At 43.6% G+C, this 19,666-nt stretch overlaps 1 protein-coding gene across 1 annotated transcript in view, besides 1 other annotated feature; it reads right to left on the bottom strand.

The window, feature by feature from the left end:
• PRKAR1A (protein kinase cAMP-dependent type I regulatory subunit alpha) overlaps positions 1–19,666 on the bottom strand; it is a 137,694-nt gene that overhangs the window by 49,577 nt on the left and 68,451 nt on the right. The window lies entirely within an intron of this gene.
• Positions 3,010–3,193: a silencer, noted in NCBI's record as "fragment chr17:66494688-66494871 (GRCh37/hg19 assembly coordinates)". NCBI's record gives its function as "represses an EF-1alpha promoter that drives an FKBP-Casp9 reporter gene in an ReSE screen in HepG2 liver carcinoma cells {active_cell/tissue: HepG2}" and the evidence as "EXISTENCE:reporter gene assay evidence [ECO:0000049][PMID:32094911]".

Genomic DNA, 19,666 nt, shown 5'->3' with positions numbered 1-19,666 from the left:
ATGCCTGTAATCCCAGCACTTTAGGAAGCTGAGGAGGGAGGATCACTTGAGGCCAGGAGTTTGAGACCAGCCTAGGCAAGATAGTGAGATGTCCCTCTCTACAAAAAAATTTAAAAATTAGCCAGGCATGGTTATGCACATGTGTAGTCCTAGCTACACAGGAAGCTGAGGTGGGAGGATGGCTTGAGCCCAGGAGTTCAAGGCTGCAGTGAGCCATGATTATACCACTGCACTCCAGCCTGGGCAATATAGCAAGACCGTGTCTCAAAAAGAGAGAGAGAGAATGCTGAGGGTTTTGAAATCATCAGCTTATTGATTATAACGCCATAGGAGTGAATGCAGCACCTCCTGGGACAGGCTATTGAGAGAGAAGTGGGAAGAAGAAAGGCAGCTGAATATAGAACCATGAGTAAGGCTAACAGTGAGAGGTTAAAGGGAGGAAGGGAGCCCAGAAGGAACATTTAGAAAGCAGGTGGCAAACCTGGAGAGGAAGGAGGTCACAGAAGCCAAGGGAAGCAAGTGTTCTGAGAAGCAGACAGATGCTGCAGAGAGTCAGAGTGAGAAATGAAGAGTCAGGGCAATTCACAGCTCAGGCAGGATACTGGAAACCAAGATGACACTTCTGATCCACCGTCAAGGAGGAGTATGCTCCGAGCTCTCTCCACATGGACTTATGTGCATTGACCAACCAGTAAGAGATGAGAGAATAAATAAACAGGAAGCTGTCATGCTGTTAAATGTTCCTTTGGAACTTGTATCAAAAGGCACAGGGAAAATATACAGAATGTGAAAACTGCGTTGTTTCCATTAACTGCTTTTCTACTCACATCTCAGGGAACAAATCCTCAATAGTGTCCTTACCTGAGCACTTTCACGGTGTGTATATTTGTCCATTTTCATGCTGCTGATAAAGTTATACCTGAGGCCGGGCGCCGTGGCTCATGCCTGTAATCTCAGCACTTTGGGAGGCCAAGGAGGGTGGATAAGCTGAGGTCAGGAGTTCAAGACCAGCCTAACCAACATGGTAAAACCCCATCTCTACTAAAAATAGAAAAAAAATTAGCCGGGCGTGGTGGTGGGCACCTGTAATCCCAGCTACTCAGGAGGCTGAGGCAGGAGAATCACTTGAACCCAGGTGGTGTACGTTGCAGTGAGCCAAAATCGCGCCATTGCACTCCAGCCTGGGCAACAAGAGCAAAATAACTCCATCTCAAAAAAAAAAAAAAAATACTCGAGACTGGGTGATTTACAAAGGAAGAGAAGTTTAATGGACTCACAGTTCCATGTGGCTGGGAGGCCTCACAATCATGGCGGAAGGCAAAAGGCATGTCTTACATGGAGGCAGACAAGAGAGAAAATGAGAACAAAGTGAAAGGGGTTTCCCCTTATAAAACCATCAGATCTCGTGAGACTTATTCACTACCTCAAGAATAGTATGGGGGAACCGCCCCCATGATTCAATTATCTCCCACCTGGTCCCTCCCACACACGTGGGAATTATGGGAGCTACAATTCAAGATGAGATTTGGGTGGGGACACAGCCAAACCATATCAGTGTGATTTTGAGAACTGTTTCCAATTGGTACAGCCCTCAAGCCTTGTTCTCAAACCTTCTCAGAAGTCTGTGAGTCATCCAGTATATAATCAATAAATTCTGATTCTACTTAGATCACCTAGGTTATGTTTCTTTGTTTGCAAATAAGAACTCTGGCTGATATATGTCCCATATCCTGTCCTGGGTATAAAAATCTCTAGGTTCCTGTTTGGATGATTAGGAAGTGACCTGTTAGTTAATGTATGGTCTTCATGTCATCCAAGAAGGGAAGGCCATGAAAGAGTGACTGTGGTCAGTTAGTCAAAAGTCGTAACTGCATGGCGAGCCTGGGCTGGCTGGCCATACTTTGACCAACGCTGATTCACCTACACCACTGGCTGGGGTGGCAGCCCACAGCAAAGAGCTGTGATCAGTGGCCACCACTTACAACTCATTACTCTATAGCACGGTGGCAATCTTAACTCTAGAGGACCAACACAAGCAATTCTCCTCTGTATACTGAAGAAAATTGTAGTAGAAATTCCAACACCTATTCTGAGAAACCCAACGTGCATTTTCCACCTTGAAATAAACATTTTACATGCAATGGTCTTAATAATGGTCATTAGTGAGCTGTAGTAAGCAACCCTGATGGATAGCCCATCTGGTCGGAAGCCTGGCTTGCTGTCCCAGCCCTGCCTGCTCCTAGATTTGGATTCTGGAATGCAAATCAGCACCCAATTTCTGAATATTTTCTCATCCCTTGTTGCTGAGTTTGTCTTGCTTACTTATATCCCTCCTCTCTCTCTCTCTCTCTCTCTCTCTCTCTCTCTCTCTTTTCCTCCCTTCTACTTCCATGACATCCCTGCTCTCTGATATAAGAAGAATGAGGAAGAATAGGTTAAGAGGGAGAAGGAACACTTTCCAGCAGAGGAAATGTGCAGAACACCCAAAGATGAGCAAATTCAGGCTGGAGGACATTTAGGAAACTACAAGTAATTCCACTGGATGTGAAGCCAGAAACTGTGTGAAGGGCATTGGCAAGAGGTGAGTCTGAAGAGCTCATGACAGTGACAATAACACATGGAGAGATCTTCTGTGCCTGGAACCGTTGTGAGGTTTCACATAGATTCCCACACCCTACCCTCACAGCACCTTTTGAGGTACGTACTATTGTTGTTCCTATTTTACAGATAAGGAAACTCCGGCATACAGAAGTTACACAACTTGCCCAAGTCATGTAGTGAGGAAGAGGCAGAGCTGGGGTGTGAACGAGGACCCTAAGCAAAGCTACTGAACTTGGACTTCCACCTGAGAGCTACAGAAGACCTTTAAAGAGGAGAGGGATCTGATTGGCCTGTACTTTAGAGAGATTGTAGGATGCCAGTGTGTCCCCTGATGCCAATAACAAGACTGAAACTGAGGATGTTTGGGAGTTAACACTCGAAGAAGATGTCAACAGACATCAGAGCCAGCACAGGAAGCAAGCGGGCAGTGGCGTGGGATGGAACTAGGGCCAATTGCCAGGTTTCCAAGAACTGAGTGGGGAGCTGCCAGGATTGCAGCCAAGGCTGCAGGAGATAAGGGCATGGGGATGGCACCTAACTGGCTCAGGCTATTTCTCAAAGGCAGGAGCACCCACCAGCTTCCTTGACCCTGACTGTACCCAGTGCCTGACACCAACTTATCTTTTCCAATTTATCTCCCTGGGTTCACATCCTCCCACAACCAGAACCTATTCTGTCATTTATACCCACACGTATTCACAAAACGACCCAGGGGCATTGCAAGAAATAAATACGTAATGAAATGATGTTAAAATATGGATAAAAACAAATATTAAGACCAGAGAAAACACTCATCAGAGCAGAAATTGAGCTTTTGGGGAGGAAAGGAGAAGAAACTCAAATATTCAAGCTGTGTGGTTCCTTGCTCTTGCTCAAGTTAAGCTCAAGTTTGAAGCTAAACTTCCAGTCAAAGTGAAAACGAAGGCAAGGTCATTTACATGGTCGTTACGGAGAGAAAAGAGGAAGTGCACCAGCTGCCAAGAAAACTTGTGGCCCTTTGCTAGCAAAGGTGTGGCATGAATTTTCAAAGTGGACTGCTTTCCAATCCCTTAACCCCCCCTTTACTTCCCCCATCACACCTGTGTTTAGGTGGTTGCATCCATCTAGCTTACAAGCATGTAAGTGTCAATCAAAATCCTGCCCAAATTTTAGAGCCCATCTTAAGTAGTTTGGCACCCATGAAGAAGGTGTCTTTTCCCTCCCTGGTCAGAAGTTTTTCCCCTTAATTATTTCTCTGCCTTGTTGTTGCTTCTTTCATAGCACTCATTATATTCTCTCACATGTTACAATTCAATGTCTATGTGTCTTGTCTTTCGTGAGGCAGCATAGCCTAATGGTTAGAGCAACAGCTCAGGAGTCAACCTCCCTGGGTTCTAGCTTGCCCCTCTCTGGCTGTGTAACCTTGGGCAACATACTTGATCCATCTAAGCTTCAGTTTTTTTTCATCTGTAAAATGAGAATCATAAGAGCATCATCCTTGTTCTCTTAGCACGGCACTTGGCACATGGTAAATTATCACATTTTTATCAGCATCTTCATAATTATCATCTCATCTCCTAGGGCTGTCAGTACAGTAGCCACTAGCCACAGGGAGCTCTTCAAATCTAAATTAATTATAATCAAATAAAGCTTAAAAGTCTTTTCCTTAGGGGTACTAGCCTCATTTCAAGTGCCAGCTGTAGCTAGTGACTACCATATTGGACAGCCCAGATACAGCATATTCCCACAATCACAGAAAGTTCTAAAGTTCCCTCTAGAACGGGGACTAGCAATTTTTTTTCTGTCAACGGTCAAATAGGTAATTATTTTAGACTTTGTGGCCATAAGGTCTTTGTTGCAACCACTCACCTTCACCACTATAGTGTGAAAGCAGCATAGACAACAAATAAATGAATGGGCATGGCTGTGTTCCAATAAAAGTTGACTTATGGACACTTTAAAGTAAATTTCATCTAATTTTTATGTCACAAAATATCATTCTCCATTCGAGCTTGTTTAGCCACTGAAAAATATACAGCCAGGCACAGTGGCTCACGCCTGTAATCCCAGAAATTTGGGAGGCCTGGGCAGGCAGATCACTTGAGCTCAGGAGTTCGAGACCAGCCTGAGCAGCATGGCAAAACCCTGTCTCCACAAAAAATACAAAAATGGGCCAGACATGGTGGTGTGTGCCTATAGTCCCAGCTATTTGTGGGGCTGAGGCAGGAGGATCACTTGGGCCCAGGAGGTCAAGTGCAGTAAGCTGTGTTTGCACCACTGCACTCTAGCCTGGGTGACAAAGTGAGACCCTGTCTCAAAAAAAAAAAAAAAAAAAAAAAAAGTAAAAACTAAGCTTAAGAGCTGTACAAAAACAGGTGATAGATCCAAATTTGTTGACCCCTTCTTTTAGAATATAAACTCCATTTGAACAAATATCATGTCTTCCTCATATACTACATAGCAGACTTCTGTTCTACATTCGAGGAGAGTGATACATAGTTCACAGCCTTTTTACCATAGGAGCTCACAGACTGCAGTCAGCCAAATGATGACCCCTGCAAGAACGTCCACGTCCTACTGCCCAAAAACATGTTGAAGTGTTACAGTACATGGCAAATGGGAATTAATATTGTAGATGAATTTAAGGTTACTAATCAGATGATCTTAAAATACAGAGATTGTCCTGGATTATCTGGACGTGGCCGGTGTAATCACAAGGGTCCTTCCATGTGGAAGAGGAAGATAGAAAGCTAGTATCAGAGTGATGCAGCATTAGGAAGACTCATCTGGCCATTGCTGGCTTTGAAAATGCAGAGAGGGCCGGGCGCAGTGGCTCATGCCTGTAATCCCAGCACTTTGGGAGGCCAAGGGAGGTGGATCATTTGAGGTCAGGAGTTCAAGACCAGCCTGGCCAACATGATGAAAACACATCTGTACAAAAAATACAAAAATTAGCCAGGCGTGGTGGTACACGCCTGTAATTCCAGCTACCCAGGAGTCTGAGGCAGGAGAATTGCTTGACCCCGGGAGGCGGAGGTTGCAGTGAGCCGAGATAGCGCCACTGCACTCCAGCCTGGGTGACAGAGTGAGACTCCATCAGAAAGAAAGGAGAGGAGAGGAGAGGAGGGGAGAGGAGGGGAGCGCAGGGGAGGGGAGGGGAGGAGAGGAGAGGAGAGGAGAGGAGAGAGGAGAGGAGAGAGGAGAGGAAAGGAAAGGAAAGGAAAGGAAACGCAGAGAGGGACCAGGAGCCAAGAAATGTGGCCTGCCTCTAGAAGCTATAAAAGGCAAGAAAACAGATTCTCCCCCAGAGCCTTCAGAAAAGGATGCAGCCCTGCCAACATCTTGCTTTCAGCCTATTGAGACCCATTTAGGATTTCTAAGGTTCAGAATTCCAGATAATAAATTTGTATGGTTTTAAGGCACTAAGTTTTCTGTAATTTGTTATAGCATCAAAAGAAACTAATACACAGATAAGTAGAAGAAATAGACATGAGAACAAATGTGCTACAATGTATGTGATGAGTAAATGAGTATAATAAGAGAAGCACGTGCAATACAAACATTAGCACAGAGAAGATATAGAACCCTGTATGGGAAGAAGTAAGTCTTTCCAGAAGCACCATCAGAGGTAAATTTTGAAAGCTCAACAAGAATTTACCAGGGAGATGGAGGAGCTGGTGGTGTGATAGACAGGTGAGGACAGAGGAATGGAGTAAGGATGGGAACGTCAGTCCAGGCAAATGGAATAAATAAGAAAAGGAGGCTGGTATAGACAATGGCACCAAGGTAAAGACTATAGTTGGTTCAGGAACCTAGAAGAAGCCTGGGGCCAGGTATGATGGCTTTCACCTGTAACCCCAGCACTTTGGGAGGCCAAGGTGGGAGGATCACTTGAGGCCAGGAGTTTGAAACCAGCCTGGAAAATATAGTGAGACCCCATTTCTACAAAAGAAACTTTTAAAAAAATTAGCAGGGCATGGTGGCACACATCTGTAGTCTTAGCTACTCGGGAGGCTGAAGCGGGAGGACCTCTTGGGCTCAGGAGTTCAAGGCTAAAATATTCTACACTCGAGTCTGGGAAACAGAGCAAGACCCAGTCTCAAAAAAAAGAGCCTGAGATATAAAGAAGAGTACAGTAGGAAGGGAAGGTAGACAGAGGCCAGATCTAGGAGGATCTTAGCCCTGCTAAGAAGACTTTCTTTGTTTAATAGAATTCCAATTATCTACGGCTATCTAACAAGTTAACATAAGGCTTAAAACAATAATTATATCTCATTTGTGGAGCAGGACATTTGGCAGGCCCAGCTAGGGGGATTCTTCTGTTCCATGTGGTGTCGACTGAGGTCAGGGGTGGCATTCACCTGGAGGATGGGCTGGTCTGAAGGATACCAAGTGGCTTCTGCTTGGTGGGGAGGATTGATATACCAGGCCCAGCTGAGACCGTTTGCCGGGCACTTACATTACAGAAGTCTCAGGGTATCCAACTTTTCCACAGTGGTCAGGGCTACCAGACAGAATGTTCCATGAGAGGCAGGCAAAAGCTGCATGGCTTTTTATAACTTACCCTTGAAGTCCCAGCACAGCACTCCTGCTATTTTATTTTATTTTATTTATTTTTTGAGACAAAGTCTCCCTCTATCTCCCAGGCTGGAGTACAGTAGTGCCATCTTGCTCATTGCAACCTCTAACTCCTGGGTTCAAGCGATTCTCATGCCTCAGCCTCCCAAGTAGCGGGAATTACAGGCTCCCACCACCATGCCTGGCTAATTTTTGTATTTTTGTAGTAGAGATGAGGTTTCTCTATGCTGGCCAGGCTGGTCTCGAACTCCTGACCTGAAATGATCCACCCACCTCAGCCTCCCAAAGTGCTGGGATTACAGGCATGAGCCACCACACTCGGCCCATATTTTCTTACTCAAACAAATTACTTAGGCCAGCCTAGATTCAAGGGGAAGGGAATTAAACCCAGTCCGTCAACGGAAAGAGTGTTAAAGCTCTTTGGCTGTCTTTAATGTGCCGCAACTAGAACAGGGAGCCAGTAAATGGCATTTTTGATTATATATTTTTAAACATTTTCAATATAGAAAAATACAAAAAAGAAAATTAAAATCATCCATAATCCTCCCACCTAGAAACTATTCACAACGTTGTGAAGAATTTTCTTTCAAAATTTTTGATGGACGATGTTGCCACATTCTCCATTTATCTTCATGCTTTTCCACTCAAGGGCTTTAAGTAGGAAATAGATACTATTAAATTTGCGTGTTGGGCCAGGTGCCGTGGCTCACACCTGTAATCCCAGCACTTTGGGAGGCCAAGGCAGGCAGATCATGAGGTCAGGAGTTCAAGACCAGCCTGGCCAACATGGCGAAACCGCATCTCTACTAAAAATACAAAAATTACCTGGGCATGGTGGCACGCACCTGTAATCCCAGCTTCTTGGGAGGCTGAAGCAGGAGAATCGCTTGAACCCAGGAGGCGGAGGTTGCAGTGAGCCGAGATCACGCCACTGCACTCCAGCCTGGGTAACAGAGCAAGACTCTGTCTCAAAAAAAAAAAAAAATTGCAAGTTGAAAAATATCTTTGGCATCAGTGCAAAGAATAGTTTGGCAAGGAGACAAAGTGGGAAGCGATTGCTACAGCGCCGGGAGTGGCCACTCCGAGGCTTGGCTGCAAAAAAGTAAGAACACGTGCGGGGGGAATCAGCTATTCCATGAGCTTCTCCCTATTTAATTTTTTTATATGGACAACTTAACTTTTAAAAAATATTACACAGCACTTGCCTTTCAAGTTGCCTGCTTGGCCCTCTTCCAAGTGTATTTTCCTTCCTTTTGTTCCTGCTCTAAAGCTTTCTTTTCCCTTCAACTTTTAAGTTCAGGGGTACATGGGCAGGATGTGTAGGTTTGTTCCATAGGTAAACGTGTGCCATGGTGGTTTGCTGAACAGATCAACCCATTGCCTGGGTATCAAGCCCAGCATCCATTAGCTATTCTTCCTGATGCTCTCCCTCCCCACAACCCCCACCCCTCTGACAGGCCCCAATGTGTGTTATTCCCCCCCACCACATGTCTATGTGGCAATTCCTCAAAGACCTAGAGGCAGAAATAGCATTTGACCAGCAATCCCATCACTGGGTATATACCCAAAGGAATATAAATCATTCTGTCATAAAGATACATGCACACATATGTTCATTGCAGCACTATGCACAGTAACAAAGACATGGAATCAACCTAAATGTCCATCAATGACAGACTGGATAAAGAAAATGTGATACATATACATCATGGAATATTATGCAGCCATAAAAAAGGAATGAGATCATGTCCTTTGTAGGGACCTGGATGGAGTCTAAAGTTTTTAATAAACTTGCACTCCTGCTCTAAAACTTGCCTTGGTCTCTCCTTCTGCCTTATGCCCCTCAGTCAAATTCTTTCTTCTGAGGAGGCAAGAATTGAGGTTGCTGCAGACTCATACTGATACAGATTCACCGCCAGTAGCATACTTGGGTGCTGTGTGACTTGGATACGTTCCCAAGCGCTAACACACTTTGGCGCTGCATAGCTCACATATGTTCCCTAGTGGTTAGAGATCTCTACACCTTCTTCAGCTGCAGGCATTCAACCCCTGTACAGTTTTCTTCTCCCTTTCGCTCTCCTGCTCACTAACCAACGCCCAAAACAATTCCTCTCAGTCACAGTGGCTCTGCTCCCATGGCTGATTTTCTGCTCACCCTGACGGCTGGCTCGCAGGGGTGGGAAGAACCTTGGGGTCTGCACCAAGTAGAACTAAGGCACTAATGACCCTCCTGGACAAGAGGCTCATGAGGGTGGTAAAGCTAAAGCCTCAAACCGTGCAATATCTGGGGTGTCCTCTGCTTTTTCAAATAAGATCGGCTCTTTCCCAAGAACCCGCACTGCCTGTTCTTCTGTTTTCCTGTGTCTCCTGAAAAGCGGCCTTGAGCACCTGCCGAATGAACCATCGGCCTCAGGAGCAAGTCAGCCACTTGGCTTTCACTTCGAATGCCACATGACTTCTTAAACACACGCTCCCTGTTATTCATGTGCCTGCGGCTTTTGCATGGCAGAAAAGACACAGGCTTCCTTGCGGATATCTCCTGAGATTTATACTTGGTTTTAACCTAACAGCTTGGATGACCTCCAACCCTTCCCCTGTCTGCTGGCCCATGGCCAGGACAGACACTAACTGGAACTCTGGCTCTGCCAGCTCCTTATGACTTACCATATGCTTTTTGTTCCTGTTATGCCACAGGACCAAGTTTTCTGGTGGCTTTTGAAGCAGTTTGTCCACCTCCATAGGGCCTTCTTCTGGCCCTTTAAGGATCCCACCTACTTTTTTCTTTTTTTTTTTGTGCGTTAGCACCACTTGGGAGGAGGGGAAATTCTGCTTTTGCTATTTGTGAGTTCTTACTCCAAGCCCCAAGTCCTCCAGAGGTTGCTACTTTATGTCAAGAGGGCAAATGAATATTGCCCTCTTGAATCCGAGGTCTGCTCTTTTTGCAAGCATATGAAGGCTTTCCACAAGTGTTCCTCTCACTTCCTCCCACTTCCTCCCACTTCCTCCTGGAGCCTCCACTTCTCTAATTACTTCCACGCCCTTCTCAACAAGCATCAAGTCCTGCAAGGTCATATTCAAATCTTGCAGGGAGGGAAGTCCAGCCCCTTTGCAGCAGTGAGCTGAAAAACAGGCTTCTTGTCTACTTGAAGAACATGGGAACTAGGCATCTGACAAAGGAAATAATCATTTTGGCTGGGCGCGGTGGCTCACGCCTGTAATCCCAGCACTTTGGGAGGTTGAAGCGGGCAGATCACCTAAGCTCAGGAGTTCAAGACCAGCCTGGCCAACTTGGTGAAATCCCATCTCTAATAAAAATACAAAAATTAGCTGGGCATGGTGGCACATGCCTGTAATCCAAGCTACTTGGGAAGCTGAGGCAGGCAAATCACTTGAACCCAGAAGGCAGACGTTGCAGTGAGCTGAGATCATGCCATTGCACTCCAGCCTGGGTGACAGAGCCAGACTCTGTCTCAAAAAAAAAAAAAAAGAAAGAAAGAAATAATCATTTTTTTGCTAAAATGCTCTGAGTGAGAGTCTTGGAGACAAGGATACAGGCTGGTCCAAGGCCACAGGCACAGGAGACCCATAGGACAGAGATGAAGGCTGATCCCAGGCTAACAGATTACCATTAGAACAGAGATGAAGGCAAGGTTAGAGGTATACAGTAAGACAGTTCACTCTAGAACCTCAAGGATAAACATGGGACCCACTCTTCACTCCAGTATCTCCTCTGTTCTCAAGCGGGTAATGTGACGAGATGGGGCCAAGGGTACACGATAAGACTGCTTCATTCTGGAACCCAAAGGATGATGAGGGATGCCCCATTCAGGATAATAGGAAAGTAGAGGGAGTGCTTTCTTTTTTCCTTTTTCTCCTCTATTCTCTCTTCACAGATGGGTAATCGCATCTCCATACCACAGGACACGCCCCTCAGATGCATCCCCAAAACTGGGAAAAGTTTTATTACCCCAAACCTTAAGAAAAAAAAAAGTTTTCCTTTGTGATACTGCTTGGCCTAAAAATGAACTGGAAGGAAATTACAAAACTCAGCCATGGAACCCAACACTCCCTGTGCAGGAGGTCCTCAGATTAGCCTCCTCTGTCTTTTATAACCCAGATCAGAATAGGAGGACAGGGCTAAGAAAAAGGAGAAATGCGGGACAAGAGGCAACCTCAACAACTGGCTGCTTTACAAGCTCTCCAGCACTCTCCATGTTGCCCTAAGGATACTCCTCCAGGTAACTGCCAAAGGTACAAAAAGCCAGGACACTGGAAAACAAAGGGCCCCAATGGGATAAATGGGGAAAGGCCCCGCACGCTTGCCCCCTCTGCCACAAGCTCAGCCAGTGAAATGGGACTGCCCAGAGGGCCAAAGGGACCCTGGGACAGAATCCCAACCCCTGTTAGCCTGGAGCTGAAGGGCTGTCTGCTCAGGCCGGCTGGCTTCCAAACCAGACATCGTCATCAACAAGACAAGCCAAGGGAGGCAAGTAAAATGACACATTTCCCTTTTGGGTTCAAAAGCTGCCTATTCTGTGCTCATCTCCTTTTCTAAACAACTCTCCTCCAAATCCTGTTGAGTAATCAGGGCAAATGGCATTCCCTCTCTCTAAAAGAAAAGATTCACACCCCTTTATATTACTTAAGGGACCAATTACCATTCTCCCACCAGTCCCTGGTAATATCTAAATACCCCACACCTCTTTGGAGCAAAAATATACTCTCCAGCCAGGCGTGGTGCCTCACGCCTATAATCCCAGAATTTTGGGAGGCCAAGGTGGGTGGATCACTTGAGGTCAGGAGTTCGAGACCGGGCTGGCCAACGTGGCGAAACCCCGTCTCTACTAAAAAGAAAAAAAAAAAATTTGCCGGGTGTGATGACACGCACCTGTAATCCCAGCTACTTGGGAGGCTGAGGCATGAGAATCACTTGAACCTGGGAGGCAGAGGTTGCAGTGAGCTGAGATTGCACCACTGCACTCCAGCATGGGTGACTCTTTCTCAAAAAGAGAAGTATGTGTGTATATATATACTTTCCATATATACATATATATATATACACTTTCCATATATATATACTATCTATATATATAGATATACTTTCCATATATATATATTTTTTCCATTTATATATATATATACTTTCCATATATATATACTTTCCATATATATATATATACTTTCCATATATATATATACTTTCCATATATATATATACTTTCCATATATATATATATATATACTTTCCATATATATATATATATACTTTCCATATATATATATATACTTTCCATATATATATATATATATATATACTTTCCATATATATATATATATATATATATACTTTCCATATATATATATATATATATATATATATATATATATATATATACTTTCCAAGATGGGTGCTCACTTAGTATTTACCCAACCTCTATCCTATTTCTCCTAGGAAAGCTACCTAAATCTTTAACCGATAACTTCAATCTGGTCAGCCCCACCTCTGGGGTTTAGAAATAGCCCAAACTTATTCAGACAAGCCTTAGGAAAAATCTGAGCATTTTTTTTCAAATTTTTAAAAAATAAAAAATAAATATTTTAAAAATTGTGTAAAGTGCTTTACACACACAGCTTCAAGACAAGCCCAATTCAGACACAGGATAGAGAAAGAGCCCTCTGAAAGCTTATTTCTCACACCATATCCACCAGGGAGCCTGACATCCAGTTCCATAGTTTCTTCACTCCAGAGCTCAGGTCTAAAAGGTGACCTCTTTATAGAACCATGTGGCAGAGGGAAAGGAATGATGGAGAAGCCCACGCTGGCTCTTTTTTTTTTTTTTTTTTTTTGTTTTGAGATGGAGTCTCACTCTGTTGCCCTGGCTGGAGTGCAGTGGCATGATCTCAGCTCACTGCAACCTCTGCCTCCCAGTTCAAGCAATTCTCCTGCCTCAGCCTCCCAAGTAGCTGGGATTACAAGCTTGAGCCACATCATCCAGATAATTTTTTTTGTATTTTTAGTAGAGATGGGGTTTTGCCATGTTGGTCAGGCTGGTCTGGAACTCCTGACCTCAAGTGATCCTCCCACCTCGGCCTCCCAAAGTGCTGCGATGACAGGCATGAGCCACTGCACCCAGCCCCATGCTGGCTCTTAAAGCTTCTTCCTGAGAGGGACACTTGCCACTTCCTCTCTCATTTCATAGGTCAAAGCAGGCCAGAAGCCAATCAGGTTGTATATATGGGACAGAGAAGCCTTGCAATGGCGTGCAAGCTCCTTAGATCTGGCCACTGTCAGACTCAGACCTCAGCTCTTCTCTCCTGCTCCCACCTTTCTCCAGCCACAGACATCCTGGCTGTTGCTCAAATAAGCCAGGCCCACCTCGATCTCAGGGCAGGCTGTTCCCTCCACCTGAAACATAGACCTCCCCAAACAGCCTCAGGGCTCACTGCCCCACTTCCTTGGGTCTGTGCTCAAAAGCCACCTGGCCATCTTCAAATTGCAACTCTCCCCATGCCACCCCCCTACTCCCCTGTGCTTCATATTTATCACGATCTGACGTATTACATGAATTTCTCTAGTCTGTTTATTCCCTCTCTCTCTCTTTCATACAAACGTAAGCTTCATGAGTGCATTTTTTTTATTTATTTTTGAGTTTTTTTTCATTATTATTGTTGTTCACTGTTATGCCTCTGATACCCAGAACACTATCTGGCACAAAGAAAATGCAAAATAACCACAAAACCACTTTTCTTTCCTTTTTCTTTTTTCTTTTTTTTTTTTGTCTGAGATGAGGTCTTACTCTGTCGCCCAGGCTGGAGTGCAGTGGCGTGATCTCAGCTCACTGCAACCTCCGCCTCCTGCTTCAAGCCATTCTCCTGCCTCAGCCTCCTGAATAGCTGGGATTACAGGTGCCCACCACCAGTCCCGGCTAATTTTTGTGTTTTTAGTAAAGATGGGGTTTCACGATGTCGGTCAGGCTGGTCTTGAACTCCAGACCTCAAGCAATCCACCCGCCTTGGCCCCCCAAAGTGCAGGGATTATAGGTGAACCACCGCGCCCGACCCCAAACCACTTTTCCAATAAGTCAATAATGAATGAATGAATACAGAAAAATTATTAGCACAGGAGAAAGTCAGGAAACGTTGGCTTAAGTTATAACTATATGCCTCTCAATATATACCATAGTGTTAGGCTAAGTAAGTATTGATTAATTAACTTGGTAGCCTTCATTTGAAAACACTAGAATGTAAAAATGTACCTGGAGGTAAAGTTTATTTCCCAGCAGTTGAATTATAATGTTGGTTATCTACATTTTTCTGATTTTTATTAACAAAACCATACTTTGAGATTTCCCTATGTGCCAGGCACTGTGCAATGTGTGTACATGAATGTCTTATTAAATTCACATAACAGGCCGGGCGCAGTGGCTCACGCCTGTAATCCCTGCACTTTGGGAGGCCGAGGCGGGCGGATCACGAGGTCAGGAGTTCGAGACCAGCCTGGCTAACATGGTGAAATCCCATCTCTACTAAAAATACAAAAATTAGCCGGGTGCGGTGGCAGAAACCTGTAATCCCAGCTACTGGGGAGGCCGAGTTGGGAGAATTGCTTGAACCTGGGAGGCGGAGGTTGCAGTGAGCCGAGATCATGCCACTGCACTCCAGCTGAGGTGACAGAGCAAGACATCATCTGAGAAAAAAAAAAATCCGCACAACATCGACTTTGGGAGGTAACTAGCATTAGTATACCCATTAACACTTGGGTACCTGAGGCACAGGCATATTAGATGAGTGACTTCTGTAAGGTAATGCAGCTGGTTAGCAATGGAACCAGATTTTCAGCTCAAGTTTCATTCCAGAGCAAAAGTACACAGTCACACTATATTTTCACTTTCTACAATGAGCATAATTTATTTTTATAATAGGAAGAGGGAAGAGAAAGCTAATTAGGAGAAGGAGAAGGAGGAAGGAGAGAAAAGAAGGAAAGCAGAAGAAGGAAGGAAGGAAGGAAAGAAGAAAGAAAGAAAGAAAGAAAGAAAGAAAGAAAGAAAGAAAGAAAGAAAGAAAGAAAGAAAGAAGGAAGGAAGGAAGGAAGGAAGGAAGGAAGGAAGGAGAGAAAGAAAGAAAGAAAGAGGGAAGGAAGGAAGGAAGGAAAAGAAAGAAGGAAGGAAAGAAAGAAAGAAAGAAAGAAAGAAAGAGAAAGAAAGAAAGAATAAGAGGAAGAGGGGGATGAGAAGAAGGAGGAAGAGGCAGCCCCAAGATAAGGAGCTTGTGCCTCCTGATGCTGTGACAGACTTCAGCCCAATCACTTCATAGAACAGTTTCCTGCAAAGCCATGTATATGTCCAAGACTCCTTAATTATGCGGACATTAAAAAAAAAAACCTCATGAGCTCTTCTCTTAGTCCAGGCACCAGTGTGACTGAGGTGAAACTGATTGCAAAGTGGCTGATTGCTGGGAGAATGTCTTCTTTCCCTTTGATGAATCAACAGTTCACTGAATCACTAAACATGTTATGGATTGTGGGGCTCGATCACTGAAACTTAGGCTGGGCACGATGGCTCACGCCTGTAATCTCAGCACTTTAGGAGGCTGAGGCGGGCAGATCACTTGAGGTCAGGACTTGGAGACCAGCCTGATCAACATGGTAGAACCCCATCTCTACTAAAAATACAAAAATTAGCCAGGCATGGTGGCACGCATCTGTAATCCCCGCTACTTGGGAGACTGAGTCAGGAGAATCGCTTTAACCCAGGGGGTGGAGGCTGCAGTGAGCTGAGATCACGCCACTGCACTCCAGCCTGGGCAACAGAGTGAGACTCTGTCTCAAAATAAAGAAACTTAAAGTATGTTTCTTTAGGATCAGTGGAATGATTCTAAGTAAAGTTTTAGATGAAAAACTGTAATTCTTTATGCCTCGCAAGAATAATTGGAGTGTTTTCTCCTTCAGCCACTTCAACCCCTTATCTCCAAAAGCTTTGGATGTAAAACGGAGTCTCTTCTTCTGTGGTGCGGGCATTATCATCATTTTACAAACACAGGGAGGAAAGCAGAAGAGTTTCAAAGGTCCTATTTCCAAAGCAAAAGATCAAAGGGTCAAAATAACAAGTGGTCACTAAAAGGGAAATATTTTTAGAAGGCTTAACTCAATAGAAGTAACAGATGTCTTCCCCTTTTTTACTTTGCTCTTTCTCTTTTACCAAGCAAACCCACTGCTGCATTATACAACACAATCCAAGGATAAAGGGGAACTCTGAGGTCTAGGACAATATCCTTGCCCAATATTAGCTCATTTTAGGGGTCACTCAGCACTCAGCTATTTGTGGAAGCGAAGTTGATCTTTGTTTCCCACTCTCCATCTGTCTTGAGCTTACCTTCAATTCTAGGCAAATTGTTCTATGTGCGTAAACTACTGCTTGTTTGATCATTTTTCCATGATAGTTTGGTGGGTAAAATAATCTAATTAGCAGAAAGGCAGCCCACAGTATGCCCTTGAATCCAGCAAATCATAGAAGTTCAAGTTGTTCTTTGAGTCCTTGGTAAAACAGATAACATCTGCAATGTCTTAATATATTCCGTGGATCTCTTACAAACTAAATTGCTAATTTGTTAATTCTTTGCCATTGTGGCAGAAAACACATTCATTTTAAAGTGAACATAGCACATTTAACTTTGCCTTGAACTATGAAAGTGAACAATATCCTTTGACTCCCCACTTTTATTTTCATGACAAATTTAGGGACATTTTGTTAGTTTGGATTGTCTCCAGAATCTGAGACTTCACCCTCACTTGCTTTCTCTGTCGGGATGGAAAACACTACTTTGTTTGTCAGCCTTTCTTGCTACATTTGATGAGATTCCAAAACTGACCCAAATGGAGCTTTTTCAACCTGTTAAAGGACATCTGTGAAAAACCTGGAACATTTTACTCAATGATGAAAGACTGAATGCTTTCTATCTAAGATCAGGATCAAGTCAAGGTCATCCACTCTCATCACTCTTATTTAACATTATAATGGAAGATCTAGTCAGTTCAACAAGGCAAAAGCAAGAAATAAAAGGCATCCATATCAGAAAGGAAGAAGTAAAATTGTAGAAAACCCGATGGAATACAAAAAAAAAAAAAGATACCACGATAAGTGAGTTTAGCAAGGTTGTAGGATACAAAGTCAAAATAAAAAAATTAATTGAATTTCTATCTACTAACAATGAAAAATTTTAAATTTAAAACTCCCATTTCTAATACTATCAAAAATACAAAACATTTAAAGATAAATCTGACCGATGTGCAAGAGCAGTACACTGGACACCACAACACATTACAGAGATGAATTTTTAAAGACCTAAATAAATGGATAGATTTAATTTGTTTGTGTGCCAAAACAGTCAGTATTGCCAAGATGTCAGTTCTCCCCCATATTACTCTATAGTTTCAGGGCAATCCCAATAAAAATGCCTGCAGTTGTTTGTGGATTTTTTGTAGACATTGACAAGCTGATTCCAAAATTCATAAGGAAAGGCACAAATACCTAGAATAACAAAAACAAAGTTGGAGGGCTAATGGTACCTAATTTCAAAAGTCATTATAAAGCCCCAGTAATAAAACAACATGGTATTGGCATAAATATTAACAAATAGATCAATGAACTGAACAGAGTCTAGAAACAAACACACACATATATGGACAATTGATTTTTTTTCTTTTCTTTCTTTTTTTTTTTTTGAGACGGAGTTTTGCTCTTGTTACCCAGGCTGGAGTGCAATGGCATGAATTCAGCTCACCGCAACCTCCACCTCCCAGGTTCAAGCAATTCTCCTGCCTCAGCCTCCCAAGTAGCTGGGATTACAGGCATGCGCCACCACACCCAACTAATTTTGTATTTTTAGTAGAGATAGGGTTTCTCCATGTTGGTCAGGCTGGTCTTGAACTCCTGACCTCAGGTGATCCACATGCCTTGGCCTCCCAAAGTGCTGGGATTACAGGCATGAGCCACCGCACCTGGCCTGACAATTGATTTTTAACAAGGATGTGAAGGCAATGCAGTGAAAAAGGACCACCTCCTCAACAAATGGTGCTGAAGCTTTTTTTGTTTTGTTTTGTTTTAAGACGGAGTCTTGCTCTATTTCCCAGACTGGAGTGCAGTGGCGTCATCTCAGCTCACTGCAAACTCTGTCTCCCGAGTTCAAGTGATTCTCCTGCCTCAGCCTCCTGAGTAACTGGGATTACAGGGGCTGGCCACCATGCCCAGCTTATTTTTGTATTTTTAGTAGAGATGGGGTTTCACCATAATGGCCAGGGTGGTCTTGAACACCTGACCTCAGGTGATTCACCCACCTCTGCCTCCCAAAGTACTGGGATTACAGGTGTGAGCCACTGCGCCTGGCCCGGTGCTGGAGCAATTTGATGATTTGTATGAACCAATATGAACTTGGGTCCATGCACATCATAGACAAAAAAAAAAACTCAAACTAGATCATGGATCACAATGTAGAGCTAAACTAACGAATATGTAGAAGACAACATAAGAAATTCTTTTCTGACTTTAAGTTAGCCAATGATTTCCTATGTTTGACACCACAGCATGATTTGTTCAAAAAAACTGATAAATTGGACTTCCTCAAAACTAAGGACAAACAATTAGCCACATCCAGATATGATCAGACATCAAGCTGGAATCATAAAGAAATACTTTCTGCCTGGAAAACTCATAGCTTGCTCCAGGTGGTCTGTCACCCCAGTGTGGGAATGGTTGATATATTTGCTGAGAGCAAATAGTTTATATGCTGAAGGCAATTTGAGGACATCTGGCCCTTCCTTTGTCCACCGATTGACCTTAGTAAAAACAGATAAGGGAGCCAATGGATAGACACACAAAGCCTCCTTTTCTGCCCATTCTTTTTACCTTTATTGTACGGGCAATATTTGGTTTGATAACGCTAAGCTTAATGAGCTATTTAACCTTCACCCGGTGTCTAGGGTTATTGCCCCAGAGTGAAGGAAGTACAAAACTTGAAAACAAAGAGGAATTTTAAAATCCTAAATGTCTTTGCCATTTAAAATATTTATTTTTTTCCTCTTGAAAAGCTAGTGATTGCTTCCTTATTACAGCACCGTAAAAAAAGTCCCAATAATCCTTGTTTCTATATTATAGCATATAAATGAGATGAAACTGTATTTGAATTCCAGTTTTACCTCCCAACAGTTGTGTGTCATTGGGCAAACAACTGAGCCTCAGTTTCCTTGTCTGTCAAAGAGTAATAACATCTTCGTAAGGTTTTTGTGAAGCTAAAATGAGAATGTGTGCAAACATGCACCACTATGCCAGGCATATAGTAAATTGCCAATAAAGACGACATAAGTTTTAAATTACATGCAGTCAAATCCGTCTGTCTTTTTCCCTGTCGCTTCATCCTACTCACCGCCACTCATCTTTCAAAATTCAACTCCAACATCTCCTTGGAGACATCGTCTCTGACCTGCCCTGTCTTCTTGCTCCCCTGGTGGCTTTTA

This window comes from Homo sapiens, chromosome 17 (assembly GCF_000001405.40).
Source record: "Homo sapiens chromosome 17, GRCh38.p14 Primary Assembly".
NCBI lineage: Eukaryota > Metazoa > Chordata > Mammalia > Primates > Hominidae > Homo > Homo sapiens.
Note: the sequence above shows the minus strand (reverse complement) of the source record. Positions and strands in the feature narration are given on the sequence as shown.